The sequence below is a fragment of the Homo sapiens genome, chromosome 1 (assembly GCF_000001405.40).
Source record: "Homo sapiens chromosome 1, GRCh38.p14 Primary Assembly".
In the NCBI taxonomy this organism is placed as follows: domain Eukaryota; kingdom Metazoa; phylum Chordata; class Mammalia; order Primates; family Hominidae; genus Homo; species Homo sapiens.
Window position 1 is genome coordinate 229,812,786 of NC_000001.11, and position 19,920 is coordinate 229,832,705.

Consider the following 19,920-nt stretch of genomic DNA (forward strand, 5'->3'; position numbering starts at 1 on the left):
CAGGCACACCTATAGTCCCAGCTAATAAAGGATCTTTTGAGGCCAAGAGTTTGAGTCCAGCCTGGGCGACATAGCGATACCCAGTCTCAAATAAATAAATAAATAAATAAATAAATAAATAAATAAATAGATAAATAAATAAGTTTTTATTTAAAAATAAGGAGTTTAGCTTCCTAATAATGAGGTATTTCTAGCTTCCACTTTGGCGGTATTTGGAGAGCAGAGCTGTGGACTGGAAGTCTGAAGTCAATGTTCTACCCTCTGTCCCTCCCTATTCTTTGCTTTTCTGTTTACACAGCCATGGAGAGAGGAGAGCTTTGCGGAAAGTTGCTCTGTTGAGAGGGACATGCTCACTGCCCTGATCTGATCATTATATAATGTAGACATGAATTGGAACATCACGCTGTACCTCATAAGCATGTACAATTAACATGTCTCAATTATAAACAAAACAAAAAATTAAATTAAAAAATAAAAATAAAATGCTGCTCTGCTGAGTTGAAGAGCTGGACACCTGGGCTCAGGATCTGGTGAGCCGGCCACACCTTGGAGTCTGCTCTGACCTCCATGTAGTGGCACAGGCTGGGTGGAGGAACTATGGATGGCCTTAGTGGCCCATGAAGTGTCTGGTTTACTGACCTGTGGGAAAGCTGGGCTGGACTCAAGGATCAGTCTGGTGGGTTGGATTGGCCCAGCTTGCTCTCCTCTATAACCAGAGGAGTGGGCTGACCTGCAGTGGTCACAGAATCCACTGACTCTCAGACAGCTGCTCTATATTGGGTAAAGCCATCCCTCCCTACCCTGGTTAGTGCCACATTTGATGGTTGCCACCTGGGCCTTGTGGAAAAGCAAGTTGCTTTTAGTTGCTTTCTCCACAGTTGCTTCCTGAAGATGTGACTGACTTCTTTGGATGGTCACCTATGGAGTCTCAGCTTCCCTCTCTGTTGTATGGGAATAACCTAGCACCTTCCTCTCAGAGAGTCTGAATAAGAGATAGTTTCCCCATGTGTTAGATGGGGTTTCACCATGTTGGCCAGGCCAGTATCAAACTCCTGACCTCAGGTGATCCACCTGCCTCGGCCTCCCAAAGTGCTGGGATTACAGGCATGAGCTACTGCGCCCGGCCAGGAGACATCTTTACCTTTGTATGCCACTGTCTTTTTAAATGTATTCAGTGGTGGAAGTTCTTCTCCTGGATAAAAACTTGGAGTGTCCCATAAATTCTCTGCTAATTATTGGATTTAAAAAAATCATGTTGTCTCATTTTTAGCTACAGACACAGTCTCAATTCAGAAATTGTAATAATGAAAGGTTCCAAATTCAGTCAAAGGCGTAGCTCCTCCCTCTCTCTTCCACCTGGGTCCTGCAACAGCCTGGCAGCTTAGAGTGAGAAAGGGGCTGTGAGGGCTTTTTCTGCACTGCCCCAGGGTTGTGTGGTAGGGTGGGGAGGGCCAAGAGGTCTCACCTGCCTGAGCGACAGTGACTGTCATAGGATATCCTCACACCCAGGCAGGCACGTGTTTCAGTGGACATTTTCTCCCTTGGTGTTTTTTTGGTTTCTTTGGTTTCTTCCGAGGCCTTGATGAGGAATGTTTGACTTTTTCCTGTGAAGGAAGAAACAGATGGTTTTTTGTTTTGTTTTGTTTTTCCTGTCTGGCACTTCCCTTGTCAAACTCAGCTTTTCTCCGGCCCTCTTCTCTGTGGGAGAACTCTTTTGTGGGGGCTAAGCAGTCCTCTTGGGCCTGCAGTGACTTGCTCCCTCTGTCCTGGTCCATGTCTGCAGTGCTTGACACCCCTCAAACTTGCATGGCGCCAGCTGTCCCCAGCTGAGGAGCAAACGCTGTTTCTTTTTCTGCAGCTGGCCAACCTGGTTCCACCCTCAGCACCTCCCAGGTGGAGGTGGACTCCAGGCCCCATTTTCTCACTAACTGTAGATGAGACATTTCACTCTCCCTGTTGTTCCTTTGAAATTCCTACCATGCTTTAGAACTTGAGAAAAATCACCCAAATCCATTGTCCTTAGGAGAGAGAGGATCTCTAAAAACACCATTTTCTACCTTTTTATAATGATAAAATGTGGTTATGAATGTGGACCACAGTCCTCTAACAGATTTTCACTCTTACTTTTCAAATTTGCAATTTCTACTGGGACTCAGAATTCACCTTATCATCTGATACCTATTGTATCTAGGTGCCTCAAGTGAAACTTGCCACTTAACAGTGGTCCAATCAGCCTTTTATTTCTAGGGTTTTTAAAAATTAGCCATTCCTGTGCTATTTCATCTAAAGAGGGGAAAGAAAGTTGGGCTAGATTCTCTGACTATCTTTGGGTCTAGGCTATTCAACACAAAGTGGGTAAATAGAGAAGTAGAAGGTACCTGCCTGCGAGGTGGACACTTCCAGCAAGCTCGCCCTCCCTCAGAACAGGGCTGGTTCCTCTCACATGCGATCCTTCCCCCATGGTTGTCCTTAAAGAGGCTTGTTTTCTTTCTAAAGGCCTGATTCCAGTATCCAGCTGTGCAGGTCATTAAGAGTGATCTGCTAAGCCATGAATCAGTGTATGGAAAGAGATTGCAGGACTGGATTGAGGATCCCATGAGCATGGGCTTGTCAAACCCAAAATAATTGAAAGGATCAGAATTTAGTTCTAAAGAGTATTCAAATGCAAGCCATCGGGTAACATAGACTAGCCACCAGGTAACGTAGACTCCAAAGGAACGGGTCAGAGCTCTGAAGTTGAAAGGCTAAGGTCTTGCTTGTATAGGCAGAAAGCAAATAAATTTAACAGGATTGAAACGTTTTCCGTAGAAGGTTGGTTTATGAGTTACAGCAATCTAATTAGTTACAGCTTGCTTTATTTTCCTTTCCCACTTATATATATATATATAATTGATCTATGATGAAAATCAACAGTGAAGAGGGAAGGGGTCTTCTCTGGAACCTTTTGGTCTATTACAATATTTTACAAAACAATGTAGACAAATAAAGGGCTAATCTATGACAGAGGAAAAAAGCTACAGCTGCCTGGGTTATAGCTGCCTGTCATGTGACTCAGGTCTCATCACCGCATTCCTTTAAGACTCAAAATAATTTAAAATTCCAACAGCTTGATTTTGAATTACTTATTTTCACAGGTTTGAATTCTGTATCTGCTCTCACCAGGGTGTAACTTTCAAGGAACTCCTGCCTGTTCTCTCTCAGCCCGGTTTTCACTTTTGTATAATAAGGTCATTAATAGCACCAGTTTCAGGATTCTAGTGAGGATGGCACAAGGCCTCATACATAGTGAGAACCCAGTAAGTGATGGTCGCTTTTGTAACTTACATATGACTCCCACATTCCACCCTTCCCCACCCCCTTGTGATTCTCAAAGAAATAGTGCTTTTTAAGTGGCCATGTCCCAATTAGAATAATGGCTTATGTGCATGATGACATGATAAATCCAGCTCTCTTGGAATTTGCTTCCTTTTCTCATGGGTTGGTTCCAGGGTCCTGGGGTATTCTGAAAGGCTCAGCTGACAAGGTTCTGGCTGGGCTCTGCCTCATTAAGTTAGCTGCCTGAAGACATTAGCAAAGTGTTTCCAGGATGTTCATTACAGCCCCCTCTCCCTCCACATGCTTGACACCCCTCTATTTTCTTAGCGTCTTGCAGCAGCAACAATAGCACCTGCTGGTGACCTTGCTGGGGGCCTCTGAGCCATTTCTGGATCCCTCTCTTTCTAAATGCTCCAGGCTTTGCACATGTGCACGTTATGTTTCTGCTTCTGTGGGGCCACTCTCTGAGCACACTGTCCCATTCCTTAACATACTGTTTCTTCAGAACATTTCAATAGTGTCTCGGGAAGAGATAACAAACACCATTGCAGAGAAGGATCCTAGTTAGGTGTACTGTCAGCGTGGTGGGTTTTTAGGGGTGGGGCAGGAACTGGAAGGAGCAAAATGGAAAGACTATCAGTGGACAAAGAAGATGCAGATGGTGAGGAAGATCCCTCTCCACTCCCTCCATCCCCCCTTCCACCCAAGACTCCTCCTAAAAAAGGGAGTTCAGCTTCCTAATAATGAGCCATTGCTCATGGTGGCTGGAAGAGGTTCCTTCTCTCCTCTTCCCACTCTGGGAAAACATACACTTTCCAAACACTCTCACCCAGAGCACTTTTGATACCAGATGTGTGGGTTTTTTCTGAACCCTGACCAATTCTCCAACAACCAGCTGGGTGCCCTGACAAATGCATATTAAACAAACAGGTATGTAACATACAACCCATGTTCACTTTGGGGTGGAGACTTAACATTGTAAACTAAAAATAAAATTCTAAGGCCCCCTAACCATCTAAATGGACTTCCTCCTCAGCCAGGGCACTCTTAAATGTTAACCTGAAAGACTGGTTCAGGCCATGATGGGAAGTGGGGATCGGACCTGCCTCATTATACCTCTCCAGCATTAAAATCAACACAGACTTTAAGTCTGATAAGAAATATTTTACAACCTATTTTCTCTAAAGCCTACTACCTGAAGGCTTCCTCTGCAAATAAGGACCACCTTCATGAACATTCATAGTTTCTCCTGTAACCTGCTGAACATGTGTGTTTGACTAACCTGTTCCACTTAAATTCCTGTCTTACCTCTCCCTCCTTTGAAGTGCCTGTCTCTGGTCTTTGCTGCAGGCTACATTTCCCAGCCTGCAAGATGGTCACCTTGCAGGGTGTACCCTTTATAAGAAATAAAGTCTCCTTTCCAAAATTACAATTCTGTGATTTTTCAGTTAACACACTTTCCTTACACTTACAGATTTATTGTAAAAGATATTTTTGGGGCTCAGAAATTGATACCCTCAAAAACTGGCACTTTGACATGCTGAGCAGTTTTAAAAGCTGCCCTAGAATCAAAGTTCCTCTAACCATGTCTTGTTTCCCATCTCCACCTCCAGGCGTAAGCAGGGGACTCTCTTTCGAATTTCCTTATCTGACCAAGAGAGCTTCTTTCTAAAAGAAACAGTGTCTTAAACTCCCTTCCTAGAATTTCTTTTTTAACTTAACTTTTATTTTAAGTTCAGGGGTACCTGTGCAAGTTTGTTACAGAGATAAACTTGTGTCATGGGGGTTTGTTGTACAGATTATTTTGTCAACCTGGTATTCCATTAAATAACTAGGAACTATCAACCACTGGAGAAGAGAAGACTGGGAGTCATCACCATGCCCAGACAAATTTTTGTCAATTCTTCTGAGCGCAACTTGAAGAAATTACCTGGGAACTTTATCTGCAAAATCAAACAACTTTTGTCTCTGTGCAGCTCCACCCCCACCTTCCTCTGGGGTTTGCCTCCTGCCAGCCCTAATGATTTACTGCCCTGCAAAAGAATTGTCTACCTATCCTACCTCCTCCTCCCTATGAAAAAGGGTATATGAGCTTCTGTACCACTCCAGGTTCTTGGGCAATCCTTCTTATGTGCTATGCACATTAAAATAAAATTGTGTATGTCTTTTCTCTTGTTCATCTACTTTTTCCCAGTTGATTTTTCAGTGAACCTTTAGAAGGCAAAGGAGAGGTTTTCCTCTGGCTTCTACAACATTACATCTATAAGAGAGGTTCAGAAAGGTCCCAAACACAGGAGCTTCTGTTGTTGTGGAGTTGGGGTGCACCATCCTCCTGGCACATGGATGCTTCACCAGCCAGGAAGCTCATCAAACCTCGGTGTTCAAAGTTTTTGTAGAGCTCAACCTCCCCCAATTTCCCACTCTACCACCAGCCTTCCCAGAGGTCAGAAGGTAGGGTTGAAAGTTCCAACTCCCTAATTGCCTGGTCTTTTTGGTGACTAGCCCCATCCTGAGGCTTTCTAGGGACCCCTTCCTAAGTCCCCTCACCACCATAAACTCAGATGTGATATGAAAGGGGCTCCTATCCTCAGGAAATTCCAAGGGTTTTAGGAGCTCTGTGCCAGGAGCCAGGGGCAAAACCCAAATATTCTTCTTATTGTACCACACCTCCATCAGCCAGGCTTGCTTTTTCTGGTGTCAAAAGCAACTTCTAGCTGCCCTCATTGCTCATTGTATACTAATTATAATACATTTACATAAAGTACCCCCACCAGCACCAAGACAGTTAACAAATGCTGTCACAATGATCTGAAAGTTACCTTATAGGTTTTGGGAGCTCCCCGCCCATTTTCCAGAAAGTTTGTGAATAATGCACCCCTTATTTAGCATACAAATAAGAGCGGGTATAAATACAGCTAGCCAGCAATCCATGAGTGCCACTCTGGGCCACTGTGCCTGTGGGGTAGCCCTGTTCTTTCTATGGAGCTGTCATTTTGCTGTACATTATTTCTCTAATAAATTTGTTTTCTTCACTGTCTGCTCACTCTTGAATTCTTTCCTAAGTGAAGCCAAGAACCCTCCTGGGCTAAGCCCCAATTTGGCAGTTTGTTTGCATCAATTCCCACCCTTGAAATTTTCCTCACTAGTTCAGCTACAATGCTACTGACTCTATGAACAGAGTGGTTGTTGCTATTATTGCTTATGAGTCATCATGAACGTAGTAACAATGGCTTCCCCTCTCCAGGTGGCCAAAAGAGAAATCCAGGAAATAGATTGAATGAGATAATGGATGTAAAAGTGTTTTGTAAGTTGTAAATCAGTATATATATTTGTCATATATATATAATCTATATCTTTATATATCTCAATGGTTGTTGTAGTGTGAAAGTTGTCAGAATCAAAATGGGGTCACTAATATTTAAAAAAATACTGACAAATAGAGCCAGGGAAGGCTATAAAGAGAGGATTCTCACACTTGTATACCTAACAACAAAAACTATCACAAAAATTTTGCCAAAACCATACTTTGTACAAAGGTCTTCACAACCTTACACAAAAGAATACTTCCACAAGGACATCTGCCAAGCAACTGCTTGTCCAACCTCAATTGGTATCACCCTTCTTATTAATCTTTGTAGCCAAGGATAATTATGTCAGAATAATTATGTAATCCCATTTTTTTCCTTTGAAAACCTTTGTCTCCCTTTACCTCCCTGACTACATACATAGTTTACTATAGCACACGTATTCCCATTGCAATGCCCTATTCCTGAATAAACATCCTTTTCTTTGAGAGAGCCTCTCTCTGTTATTTAGGTTGACAGTAGCAAAGGATATTCTTTATCTTTTCTTGTTTACCTCTTCTCTCTGGGCTTCTCTCTGAATAGAAATGAGTTTCTATTCAGCAGTGCTGTGGATGGACTAAAAGCTTTACAGGTGCAACTCACCTCATGGAGTAGATGGCAGGGTAGGAAATGAAGCTGTGATATAGACCATCCATGGTGCATAATAGATACTCAATGAATATTTGTTGCATGAATAAGTAGAGAAGAACAGAAATGTGTTTCATGAGAGGCACAGATATGGGCTTGAAAGCTTTAACATTCCAATGCTTGCCAGGCAGATGCCACCAAGACAAACCTGGCTGAGCAGAAGATGCTGCAGACAAAGCTCTCCACTCGGCAGCACTGGTGTCAGAGTACTTCAATTTGAGGTGTGGACATTGGGCCCAAGCTGACTGGGCAAAAGCACTCTAACTATAAGCAAGTTACTCCATACAAAAATTTGATTGAAATTCCAGCTTAAATTTAAAACTACAACAAAAAAGAGAATCCCATTAGTGTTGTGTGTATGTGTATGTTTTTAACAAATACCCACATTTGGTACTTACTATATTTACTAGCTCTGATGCGTGCTCCCCCTCTTCTCCTGGGTTTATGGGTAAGGACTAAGTTTCTTAGGTAAAAGATTTCAATGTAGATCTTCAAACTCTCATCGAGATAGCTGGCTTAGAAGCAACTAACCCCTAAAAGAAAATTTTAAAATCTTAAAGAAAATTATAGCATTATTATTACAGGCTAACATGTACTGAGCTCTTGCAATGAGCATGCACTTGGATGAAGTGTATTACATCGATTGTTTCATTAATCTTCCCAACACCTTCAAAGATGTGAGTATTATTTATACTTTTATCACTGTGTATAACTATTTTAAAGATAAGAAAACTGAGGCTTGGAAAGATGAAGTGTCTGGCCCAAGGGTCCCACAACTACTGATGGACAGAGCCCAGGATGAACTTGGGCCTGACTCTAGTGCCCAAGCCATTGGCCTTAAGCACAATACTTGTTACATTGTCCCTGGGACAATATCAGCTCTGGGCTTCTTATTTTAAGAAAATTTTAAGTAAGTAGAGTGAATTCACAGGCTATGGCAAGGGAGAACCAAACAATGTCATCCATGTAACTGTAAAGCATCTGGGGATGTTTTACCTAGAACAGGGTCTCTCGAAACTGGCATGTTGACATTTGGGGCTGGGTTGTTTTTTGTCAGTGAAAGCCCTGTCCTGTGCATTTTAGGATGTTTAGTAACACCCCTGGGCTCTAACCACTCGATGCCAGCAGCACACTCTCCCACAGTTGTGACAGCCCCAAATATCTCCTACATTACTGAATGTCCTCTGCATGGGCAAAGGACCCACCCAACCTACATCTGAGAACCACTGACTTGGAGCAATGAAGGCTCAGGAGAACATACTGTCATCAGATATTTAAAAGGCTGTCTCAAGATGTATGATCTTGATGAGGACCCTGAGAAGTCACTTTGATTCAGAAGCATTGGGTCTTCCTCTGAAATTTGGTGCATGGGTAAGAGTTAGCTAGAAGAGGGAAGCCTGGAAAGAAAAATTCCCCAAACAGAAGTGGGCCTGGCCAGAGAGCCAGAGTGGAGTCATGAGACTACAGCAGCAGGAGCCATGGGATCCCATTCATTGAATATTTTGTGTAAGGTTTAGGTTATCAGATAATGAGGAGGCGCAAGATTTAGTCTTTTTCCCCCTCTGGATATTTAGATGGGTTTCAGTAAATTTATTTTTTTACTTCTTGTATTTATTCAATGCATATTTATTTGGTGCTTACTATGTATATCATTATATTGAATGGAATTATCTCTTTCCACCCCCAGGGCCTGGCACATGATAGATGTTCAGTAAGTGCTTGTCGAACATGCTCTTGAATTGATTAAGAAGGAAAATTGCTTGTGAAAATAAGGCCTTCTTGGAAATGTTTTTTTTTTATTGCTTTTCATCCTACCAAGATGTTACTTATCAGTGGGTGGGCTGCCTTCTGATGACATTTGATGGTCTAGTCATATAAGTACTCTGGATCTATGATGAAAATGCAATGAATTTCTATTGACCAACCTATTTAACTCCCTAAATGTTTAACATCCTCCGGTGTTCCTTGGTGTGGCAGAATTTCGTGGAAATAGAATCTGAGGAAGTTTTGCCAATTGGTAGTATGGATGTGGTTGGGGATGGATGGGAATGAGTACAGTACAATGTCATGCTCCCTCTGAGGTTGGAGGCAGTTCTGTAGGTGGAGCATGACTCAGAAATGGGCATTCACTTGAGACAGCGGAGATAGGGGCTCAGGAAAGAAGCCAGAAGCTCATACACTAGAGATAAAATCATGTCGGCAGGCCTATGCAAGGAACAAATAAGAAACATTTCTATTTGTATTGGCTTTTCATAAGAAAATAATGTTACATTTTGTTCTGGCTATAAAAACTGTTGAATGATTATTGTAGGAAAAAGGTAGAGCATAAAGTAGAAAACAAGAATCAACTCTTACTCCTTTGCCCCAGAGATTACAGCTGTTAACATCCTAATGCATTTCTTTGCAACTTTTTTTGTACACATATGACCTCTTAGTGTATTATGAACACTTTCCCATGTCATTAAAAGTGAAACTGAGTGGCTGAAAAATATTTTATTTGGTATTTCACCATTGCTTCTTTAACCTTGTGCTTGTTTTCCAATTTTCAGTTATAAATAATGTTGCAATATGGAAAATTTTTGTCTTCAGGAAGTCAGCATGGGGTTAGGGAGATGCTGGCTCTAAACAGCATACACTCCTAGGATTTGAGAGGAAGGGGGATATGAAGGGCATCATCCAGCCGCAGAAAATTACCCTATTCTAAGAGTGTTGTTGCTGAGGCTAAGGTGTCTCCCATTTGGAAGGTCTCCGTGTGCCACAGGGTGTAGTCTTTGTGTTTATTGCATGCTATAGGCTCTTCGGAGATGTGCAACATTAGCCTTGTTTCCAAGCTTCCATTGTGGAGATTTACTAAATCTCATAAAGATTAGGATGTGCAATATGGTAACCGAATAAGAGAAGAGTCAAAGAGCAAGAAATGTGAATGCTTTTTCAGTGCTATGTTAGCAGAGGATGACCTTAGCAGATCTCTCCCCATAGTGTTGCAGGTGTGTAGTATAATAAAAAATATGTTTGGTCTTTGTCCATAGTTCTTGACACAAACCCTTAGAATTTCCCTAATGATAGGAGTATCTTTTATTACTCATAAGGAGTCCCTTTGACCATGCCTGAGTTTATGCTAATAAGGTGACTCTTGGTGGGCTTCTTGACAGCTTCAGGGTGAGGACAGGTGGCCAGGGGAACTCATCATGTGATTTGAGGGTGGGAACTTTCAGCTCCACTCCCTGACCTCCTGGGAGGAGGTGATGGGTTACGTTCAGTCCTGTGGCCTGTGATTTAATTGATGTAATAAAATTTTGATAGAAACAGTGAAACAATGAGGCTAAGAGAGCTCTGTGTTGGTGAACACATAGATGTGCTAGGAGGTGGTGTATGCCCAGATTCCACAAGGAGAGGGTATGGAAACTCTGCACCCTTACCCTCATCCACCATACCTGCCTTGTGCATCTCTTCCATTTGGCTGTTTCTGAGACATATTCTTTTAAACAAAATCCTGAGTTCAGCGTTCATTCTAACAAATTATCAAATGTGATGTGGGGTTGTAGGAACTTCCAATTTTATAACCCATTGGGCAGAAGTGTGGGTGGTTCATGGGATTTTCTATAGGCATAAAAAGTGAAAGCTTGGTGGGACTGAGACCTTCACCTGTGGGGTCTGCACTAACTCCAGGGAGTTAGTGCCAGAACTGAACTGAAATGTAGGGCAGCCAGTTGGTGTTGGAGAACTGGTTGTTGTCGGAGCTACACAGGGTGCATCAGGCCACTTAGCTTCTCACTTGCAATCAGCCTGCCTGCTCTGCTTTCTTCTGATTCTACTCTTTCCAACCTGTGAACCCTGAAAGAGCCAATCCTTCAAGAAGGATCATGACTGGCTAACTGGGCCTAAATTCAAAATGAGGTCAAGGTGCCATTCACTGTCTAGAGGTCACACACATACTTCGTGTTCTGGAAAAAACACCTGCTCACATAACTTTGAGACTCTCATATCTGTCTTACTGTTTATGCTGCCTGAATCAATGACTGCCAGCACTTGGACCTAACCAATAGACTGTGACCTATGGCCAATCTTATTTATTTATTTAAACAAATTGAGACAGGATTTCACTACATTATGCAGGCTGGATTTGAACTCCTGGACTCAAGCAATTCTCTTGCCTCAGTCGCCAAAGTAGCTGGAACTACAGGCATATGCCAATGTGCCTGGCTATCTAGTGATGATTTTAACATCAACCAATGAGAATTAGGCAAGCTTGCATTCTTCATTTGCATAGAAGACTGGAGTGGGAACCTGGGAAGAAACTTTTTTTTTTTTTAATAAAGGACAACCCCTCTCTTTGTTCTGACAGAGTGTACCTTTGTTTTGTTATAGGTTACATCTCCCCAATTTGCAAGCTGTTCATGGAAATAAAGTCTTTCTCAACCTAATATTTCTTTCTCAGTAGTTTTGTTAACATTTCTTGGTGTCAGAAGAGGGAACTGAAGCAATCCTTGATCCTCCTATCGATGCCATTCTGAACCCATGCATTGGTACCTGTAAGAGCCCCTTGAACTCAGTTGTCTTCCTGGTGGCACCAGGAGATCTCAGGTAAGTCCTCTTGGATCCAGACCTCCCATGCCTTCTGGTTGAGGTCTTGGGGACTTTATCTCACTTTAGGGAGGGAACCCTTTTATTTGGTTTATAGACCCAATCCATAATGTTTTGTGAGGACACTCACACTTAAATTGCACCAGAAGAGATGCCTTCAATAGGTATGTGCAATGAGTAACTCATGTTCTGTCTTCCTCTGATGATCAGCCACCTTTGGCACTCCAGCTGGTTTCATAAGCAAAAATTATGGTCCAGAAAGTTGAACCAAATTGGTTGAGCCTCTGGACAAAAATCACCCAGGATAGTCTTAAACTTTGCTGGCCAAAGTGGGGCTCCTTCTAAATTTTGAAATGTATCTATCTGCACACATAATTGGAACAAAGAAAACACATAACCTCCCAGAGACAACACGAGGCTTTCTTTAATTGGTACTTTGAAAGTTCTACATGAAACCGAGAGGCTACTATTGCCTCTCTTAGAGAAGACAATTCCAAATTAAGATCCATTTAATAAATTAGAAAAGTTAGAATAAATTTAATAAATTAGAGATTAATAAATAGAAATTAAATAAAATTAATAATTAAATAAAATTAATAAATTAGAAAAAGAGACTAGTGTACTCAAAACTGAAACTAAACTTGCTACAACACACTGTAAGATTCTTTTTCCTCTTACCCTTGTGCCTATGAGATCAAAACCAAAGCCATTGAAACACCTCTGGAAGACACTTCTTCCACTAGCATCCTCTTACCTGCCACCCTGCCTGCCTTCCACACTTTCCACCACCTCCACTTTGTTCTTCACTCCTCCTTTCTTCTTGTACTCTTTCTGAACTCCCCTTTTTCTCCTCCCTTGATATTCCCACTTCCTCCAATACAGCTGACTTTTCCAGCCCTTCTTTGATAGCCTCCTTTAAGGTCCAAACAATGGGAAATGGAAACCAACAAAATGCATGCATACACCAATTGGGCTAAGTCAGAATTTCTGGCCCTGCTAAGAGACTTCCCTAATCCTAAAACCAACTCTTTTGAATTCAAACATTTTAGTCTAATCATCAGAACTTATTAACCTGGATTTTCCAACTCATGTGTTGGAAACCTGGATTTTATCAACTCATCCGTGTACTTGCGGGAAATGTTTTGGGTAGAGAATGGGTGCTAGCTGCTGAATGGGATAGCCCCCTAGAGGACTTTAAACTGGCTTGTGTTCAAGGATTTTAAAAGGCACAGAAACAGCCTGCCAGATTACTAAAAGCCATTCTCCTAATTTTTTTCCCACCAAGTAAACTGGAAAGCCTTATAGCACTGTACATAGAAAAAGGACAAACCTGTCTTTGATTATTTGTTAAATTTGAACAAACTTTCCAACAAAATTTAGAGATCACAGACTTAAATAATGAAATGCTCAATTCATTTAATTCCATTTTTTTGTGGCCAATCTTTCTGAAGTCCTCAATACCCTAGTAAAACAGCATGACTTTAATTGAGGTGCAAAACAACCCCATGAAATAGCCTGTTCCGCCAATCAAGTATCCAAAACTTTAGAAAAGGACAAAGAATCTACAGCCACTTGAGCCTTAGATTGTCAAGAAAAGACTACCAAGTTAATGGCCCTTCAGCTACAACAATTAGGGATTCCTCCAAAATGTCCTCTCCTCAAAATTAAAATTAAAAAACCCTGCTTTTTCTACAAACGCACTAAACATTTTAAGAAGGATTACCCCAGATGTAAATAATGGCTAAAGATAAATGCCGATAAAGCTACTTGGGCCTGCTTTGGGAACATTCAGGGGATATTTCCCATACTTAAAACTAACCAGCAAGAAGGACTAGATATTAAAATTGATGATAAAGTAGTCAGAGTTCTGGTTGACACTGGGGCTACTCTGTTCTACTCTATTTGTCCTTAACCCCGACATGCTTTCAATGACCTCTCCCCAGAGTTCTGAATTCATCCAAATGGTCAAGGTAGCCAACCAGCCTATGACAGATCCTAAATCTCTACCAATTTTCCATTTCAACTAGGATCTCTCACTATCAGTCATTGCTTTTTGCTTGTCCCATCAGCTCCCATACACCTCCTGGAAAGGGATTTCTCAGAAGCCTACCAGGCCCATATTTTATTCTCCCAAAAGGAGGAAATAATGCTTAAACTATATTCACCAGGAGATTTTTGCCACAGAAGCAGCTCTTACCCAAATACTCATCTATTCAGTTAGCCTCACCATTACCCATCTTGCCTTCCAAGAGCTACCTGATAGCCTTTGGCACAATCCAACACTGATGTTGGTCACAGCCATTCAGCACCTCCAATTAAAATCCACATTAACCATAATAAACCCCTCTCCAGTGTCAAACGATATCCCCTAGATCCTGAGGCCCTGGCTGGCAGACAACCCATAATGGATGATTTTATACCAAAAAAAAAATTTGTCCCTGCACCAGTCCTTGCAATACCCCCATCCTACTCATCCACAAGCCCAACAGTACAGGATGGCAATGTGTTCAGGATCTCTGGGCTATCAGTAACACAGTCAATCCCCAACACCCGTGGTTCTCAATCCCTATGCCCTATTTTCTAATGCTTCCCCTGAAATTTCCAGCTATCAATCTTTGTAGTGTCCTTTCCAGTATACCTATAGCTCCTGACAGCCAATACCTTTTTGCCTTAACTTGAGAAGGCCAACAATACACCTTGGTTGTCCTTCTCCAAGGGTATGCAGCAAGCCCAACCTACTTCTCCCAGATCCATAGGGCCAATTTAGCTACCATTTCTTTTTGGTGAGGGTCCACTTTACTCCAATATGTCAATGATTCATTCTTTTTTTCAATATGTTGATGATTTGTTCTTATGTTCCCCTTCCTAAGAGGTTTGCCTCCTTGGCAGCCTCTACCTACTTACTACACAATCTATCCTCTAAGGGACACAAAGTCTCCAAAGAAAACTAATTTTGTCAGACCTCTGTCAAATTCACGGGATATTTCCTAAGCCCCTCTTAGAGGTTAGGAGGTATCCTAGGAATTCAATAGAGGTAGACCCCTTGTGCCTACAATGTATATTGGCCTTTCCCCTTTGCCAAAGAGACAATTTTCTGGATTCTTGGGACTTGCAGGCTGTTGCTGAAATTGGCTTCTCAATTTTTCCTTAATGTCTCAGTTTCTCTGTAATCTCCTTAAAAGTTTCTCTCCCAATTCCATCCAATGGACTTTTGATGCCCAGGAGTCCTTTGAGAATACAAAAACTCAACTTACCTTGGCCCCAACCTTAGGACACTCTAATTATAACCTCTCTTTTAATCTGTTCACTCATGAATGCAAAGGGAATGCTCTGGGAGTTTTTACTCAACCTCTTGGAGGACAAAATAGACACATGGGATGCTATACTCAACAGATTATGTTCCTCAAGGACTTCCTTCTCACCTCAAAATGGCTTCTGCTGTTTTTATCCTTGTAAAAGCCACAGGAAAGATAGTGATGGGGTTTCCTCTCATTGTTTATGTTCCTTACTCTCTCAAGGCTCTTCTCAATTCTCATCACACTCAACATCTCCCTGCTAGCCTCCCGACTTTACCTGATGTAATTTTCTGGATCCTTCCACCTTATTTCCCCTTCCAAAAGATGACATTCCCTATGACTGTGCTACCTGAACAGATCAACTTCTCACCCCTTGGCTAGATCTCTGGGAGGCTCCCTTACCCAATACAGACTATAACTGGTTTACTGATGGGTTATAACTGAGGGGACCCAGTGGCAAATACCTAACTAGAAACTTGTTGTCTCTCTTAACCAGATTATTGAGTCTGGTCCCTTTCCTGATGCCATATCTGTCCAACAAGCAGAACTACATGTTTTTACTAGGGCATGTCTTTTAGCTAAAGATAAAACAGCCAATATTTATGTAAACAGTAGTCATGCCTTTAGAGAGTAGCTCATGATTTTGGCATGCTTTGGAAATAAAGAGGCTTCCTTACCTCATCTGGAAAGAAAATAAAAAACAAAGACCATGTCTTGGCACTCCTCAATGCCATTCAAGCTCCAAGAGCTTTAGCTATTATTAAAGTTCAGGGACATTCCTCTGCCCAAAATAAAGAAACATTTGGAAACAAAATGGTTGATATCGCTGCCAAGTCATCCATGTCCCAAAATATAACATAAATTCTATTAATCAAAAGCTCGCCTATTTCTTTTTCTTTTTCTTTTTTTTTTAATTTTACTTTAAGTTCCAGGATACAAGTACAGAAGTGTAGGTTTGTTACCTAGGTATACATGTGCCACGGTGGTTTGCTGCACCTATTAACCCATCATGTAGGTTTTAAGCCCTGCATGCATTAGGTATTTGTCTTAATGCTCTCCCTCCCCTCGTCCCCCACCCCCCGACAGGCCCCGGTGTGTGTTGTTCCCCTTCCTGTGTCCATGCGTTCTCATTGTTCAACTCCCACTTATGATGAGAACATGAAGCTTGCCCATTTCTGCCCTACTTCCAGTTCCCCAGTTATACCAAACGCTGGCTAAATCTCAGGCTATCTCAATGAAGGATAAAAGTGGGAAACTGCTTGAAGAATGTTGTTCTTTTGACTTTTTGCAGCCCTCTGGGTGGGTTCCAATTGCCACCCTGTTCTCCCTAATGGCCTCTAAAAGGATATTTTAACTTTCATTCATGACCTAACCATTGGAACATGGAAAAAACGGTCTAATGAGGGAAATAATAGTGTTGGGGTCCCTCTCTCACTATTGCCCACCTTGCCTTTCTGGAAGGGAGCAGATACTCTTTTTTTTTTTGAGACCTAAATGGGCTGGGCTTTTTTTTTTAATCGAGACCTAAATGGGCTGGGCTTTTTTAAAAATCAGATACTCTTTTTTTCTTTTTCTTTTTCTTTTTTTTTTTTTTTTTTTTGAGGGTCTTGCTCTGTCACCCAGGCTGGAGTGCGTGGCACCATCTCGCCTCACTGCAACCTCCATCTCCCAGGTTCAAGCGACTCTCCTGCCTCAGCCTCCTGAGTATCTGGGATTACAGCTACTTAACTGGGCAAAATCTGTCCACAGTACAATCCTGGAAAACGATTACATGCCCCCATGGACCACTTTTCACTACCAAATGCCCCTTCAAGATATGGCAACAAGATTCAGTTCAACTTTCTACCTCACAAGGGTACCAGTATGTGTTGGCTATGGTTTGAATGTTTTCACATTGGCCTGAAGCTTTCCCCTGTCATCAGACCATAGCCATGGCAGTAGCTAAGGCCCTAGCAGAAAAAAATTATACTAACCTGAGGAGTCCCACGAGAACTTCACAGTGACTCAGGAGCTTGTTTTACAGGGCAAATTATTAAAAGTGTTTCTAAAATTTGGTCTATCAACATTTCTGTGCTTACCATCCCCAGCCCTCCAGAGCAATAGAACGAGCCAATGGAATAATAAAAATCCAATAGGTAAAAATCTGTGCAGTCTTTAACCTGCCATGGCCCAAGGCTCTTCTTTTAGTCATCCTCAACTTTCATTCCACTTCTACAGAAAAACATAAATTATCTCCTTTGGAAATTATTAGCAGCCACCCTATGTGCCTAGATGAAATACTTCACCAGCCAGTACTCATCAAAGGAGGCCTCCTACATTAGTGCAAGGAGCTCATTAATGTCTGCAACATAGTATTAACTTTGTCAAATATTCCTTTAATTGTGTGCTCCCAGGAGACGAAGAACATCCTTTTAACTTCAGACCTGGAGACTTTGTGTATTGGAAAAGACATCAGCTTAAGAATTCCCTCCAGCCTTTCTGGAAGGGACCAGGTACTCTTTTTTTCTTTCTTTCTTTTTTTTTTTTTTTTTTTTTGAGACTTAAATGGGCTGGGCTTTTTTTTTAATCAGATACTTTTTTTTTTTTTTTGAGGGTCTTGCTCTGCCACCCAGGCTGGAGTGCAGTGGTGCCATCTCGCCTCACTGCAACCTCCATCTCCCAGGTTCAAGCGACTTTCCTGCCTCAGCCTCCCGAGTAACTGGGATTACAGGTGCCTGCCATCATGCCTAGCTAATTTTTGTATTTTTAGTAAAGATGAGGTTTTAGCATTTTGGCCAGCCTGGTCTGGGACTCCTGACTTCAAGTGATCTGCCCACCTCAGCCTCCCAACGTGCTGGGATTACTGGTGTGAGCCACCATGCCTGGCCTCTATCAGGTACTCTTAACTGACTCATGTGCTGCTAAATTACAAAGCACTGACTCATGGATTATTATTTATCATTTTAAAAAGTCTTCTGATCCTCCTCCTAAGTGAACCTCCCAACCTGTCACTGATAGCAAACTTAAGTTGATCAAAGTAGAGCTGGCAGGACAAGAAGACAACATCTGATGGAGTCTACTTTCTCCCAAGATACCAGACTTAGCCCATAAGCTTCTGCAAACTGTGGGACATCTTGCCTGATGAACTTCTCATAAACCCTTCTTTTACCTAATGTTGTACTTTCTCCTTCTCCTTCCTTTACTACCCTTGCCATTTCTTCCTACTGATGGAAAGATGATTCCTTAATACAACTATCCCAATCCTTTGCCTCTGCAGGCAACTTAACTGAATGTTGGTTATGCCACCTTTCCCCAGCCAGACCATTTGGAGAAACCAATGACCCTCTGATCATCTCAGTTACCAACCTCACTCACAGGCCCAACTGCTCAGCACCCCTTTTTGAACCACTGGCTGTAGCCTATTGGATGATCACCTGTGCTCCTGAAGTTCTCCCTGCTTTTTCCTCACTGGGATATCCCATGAAAATCTTTGTTTCTCTGCCTGTCATTTCCTCCACTTGGAATGAATACTCACTGCCCCTCTGTTCTGCATACCTCACAGAATCCTGTAAAAATAAAATGTTTAGTGGAACCCCCCCTCTGAAGATTATATGAAAGAAACCATGGAGTTTCCCCCTTGACTTCCCAGGTCTTCCAGTTAAATCATACCTCTCTGTCTTTACCTAAGACCAGCTCTTGGTTTGACCGAACCCTCTTTTTTGTCTGTAAGTGGCTCCTTGGATTTTTATAACCTCTTGGGACAATTATGTTTCCCTCCAGGCTGTCTTTTTGGCTGCAGGTATCTTGGCTGAGATTTTGCCTACCATTGTCTCAGGTCCTGGGAAAATGCAGGCATTTGGTTTCTGGGTTGAGTTTTTCTCCTATCACCATTATCTCCCTAACTCTGAGACTATAAAGTCTGTATTCCAGGGTCAGGGTCAAAAGAGTCCTATAAATAATTGATGAGTACCCTGGTGACAACCCCTCAGACTATGAAGATGACAGTTGTGAACACTGCCAAGGATGCAGTTTACCCAGAGGTGTGAACCCAAGTAGAGGAGCTATAGATTAGGAAGGATTCCAGGGTAATGATTTTGACTGAGCCATGCTTGGGAGAAATATATGTTGAGACACCTTTCCCACACTGTTAAGAGAATGGCCCAGCCCACCACTCAAGCCATCATGGCACAACAGACGTCCCTACTTTCCCTTGCTTATGTGGTCCTGGACAACTGCATTGCATTAGACTATCTCCTTGGGTGGTGTTTGTGTGGTCACTAACACTTCTCATTGCACCTGGGTAAATACTGCCAGTCAGTTGAATTAGAAATATCCAAGATCCTAAAGCTAGCCAAATCTCTGAAAGGGACACCTTCAGAAAGCCCTTGACTGGATCTACTACAACTTCTGTCTGGTATAGTATCCCTTTTGTGTTCCCCTCTACAATGCTTACTTAATGATCCTCCTCATACTTGGACTAAGTATTTGGCTCCTCTTTAAAATCATTCTTGCCTGTTTTAAGAGATGTCTGCAAGAGACTCCCACCAGAATCATGCTGACCCAATACCTTAAGACTTTAAACTCACTCCATCCAGAAATACCAGAAATGAACCAACTTAACCCAAGATACTTTAATTCAAATTTAACAGGTACCTGTTTGCCTCTTGTAGGTAAATGGCTCTAGTTGCTCAACTAACCACTGCCCTGCCATGAGGATCCCAGTGTGGGACTAGATGGGCCCAGAGAAGGAAGCC

At 42.1% G+C, this 19,920-nt stretch overlaps 1 long non-coding RNA gene across 1 annotated transcript, besides 1 other annotated feature; it reads right to left on the reverse strand.

Annotated features, from left to right (window-relative positions):
- Positions 1-1,281: 1,281 nt before the first annotated feature.
- Positions 1,282-7,812, reverse strand: LOC107985464 (uncharacterized). Its single transcript, XR_001737829.1, has 3 exons — positions 7,706-7,812; positions 1,466-1,604; positions 1,282-1,380 (listed from the first exon to the last, which is right to left on the reverse strand). It is a non-coding gene; the product is annotated as an uncharacterized LOC107985464 (long non-coding RNA).
- Positions 2,254-2,809: an enhancer, noted in NCBI's record as "OCT4-NANOG hESC enhancer chr1:229950786-229951341 (GRCh37/hg19 assembly coordinates)". NCBI's record gives its function as "activates a minimal SCP1, AML or CMV promoter by ChIP-STARR-seq in naive H9 embryonic stem cells {active_cell/tissue: H9 hESC(naive)}" and the evidence as "EXISTENCE:reporter gene assay evidence [ECO:0000049][PMID:30033119]".
- Positions 7,813-19,920: the final 12,108 nt, after the last annotated feature.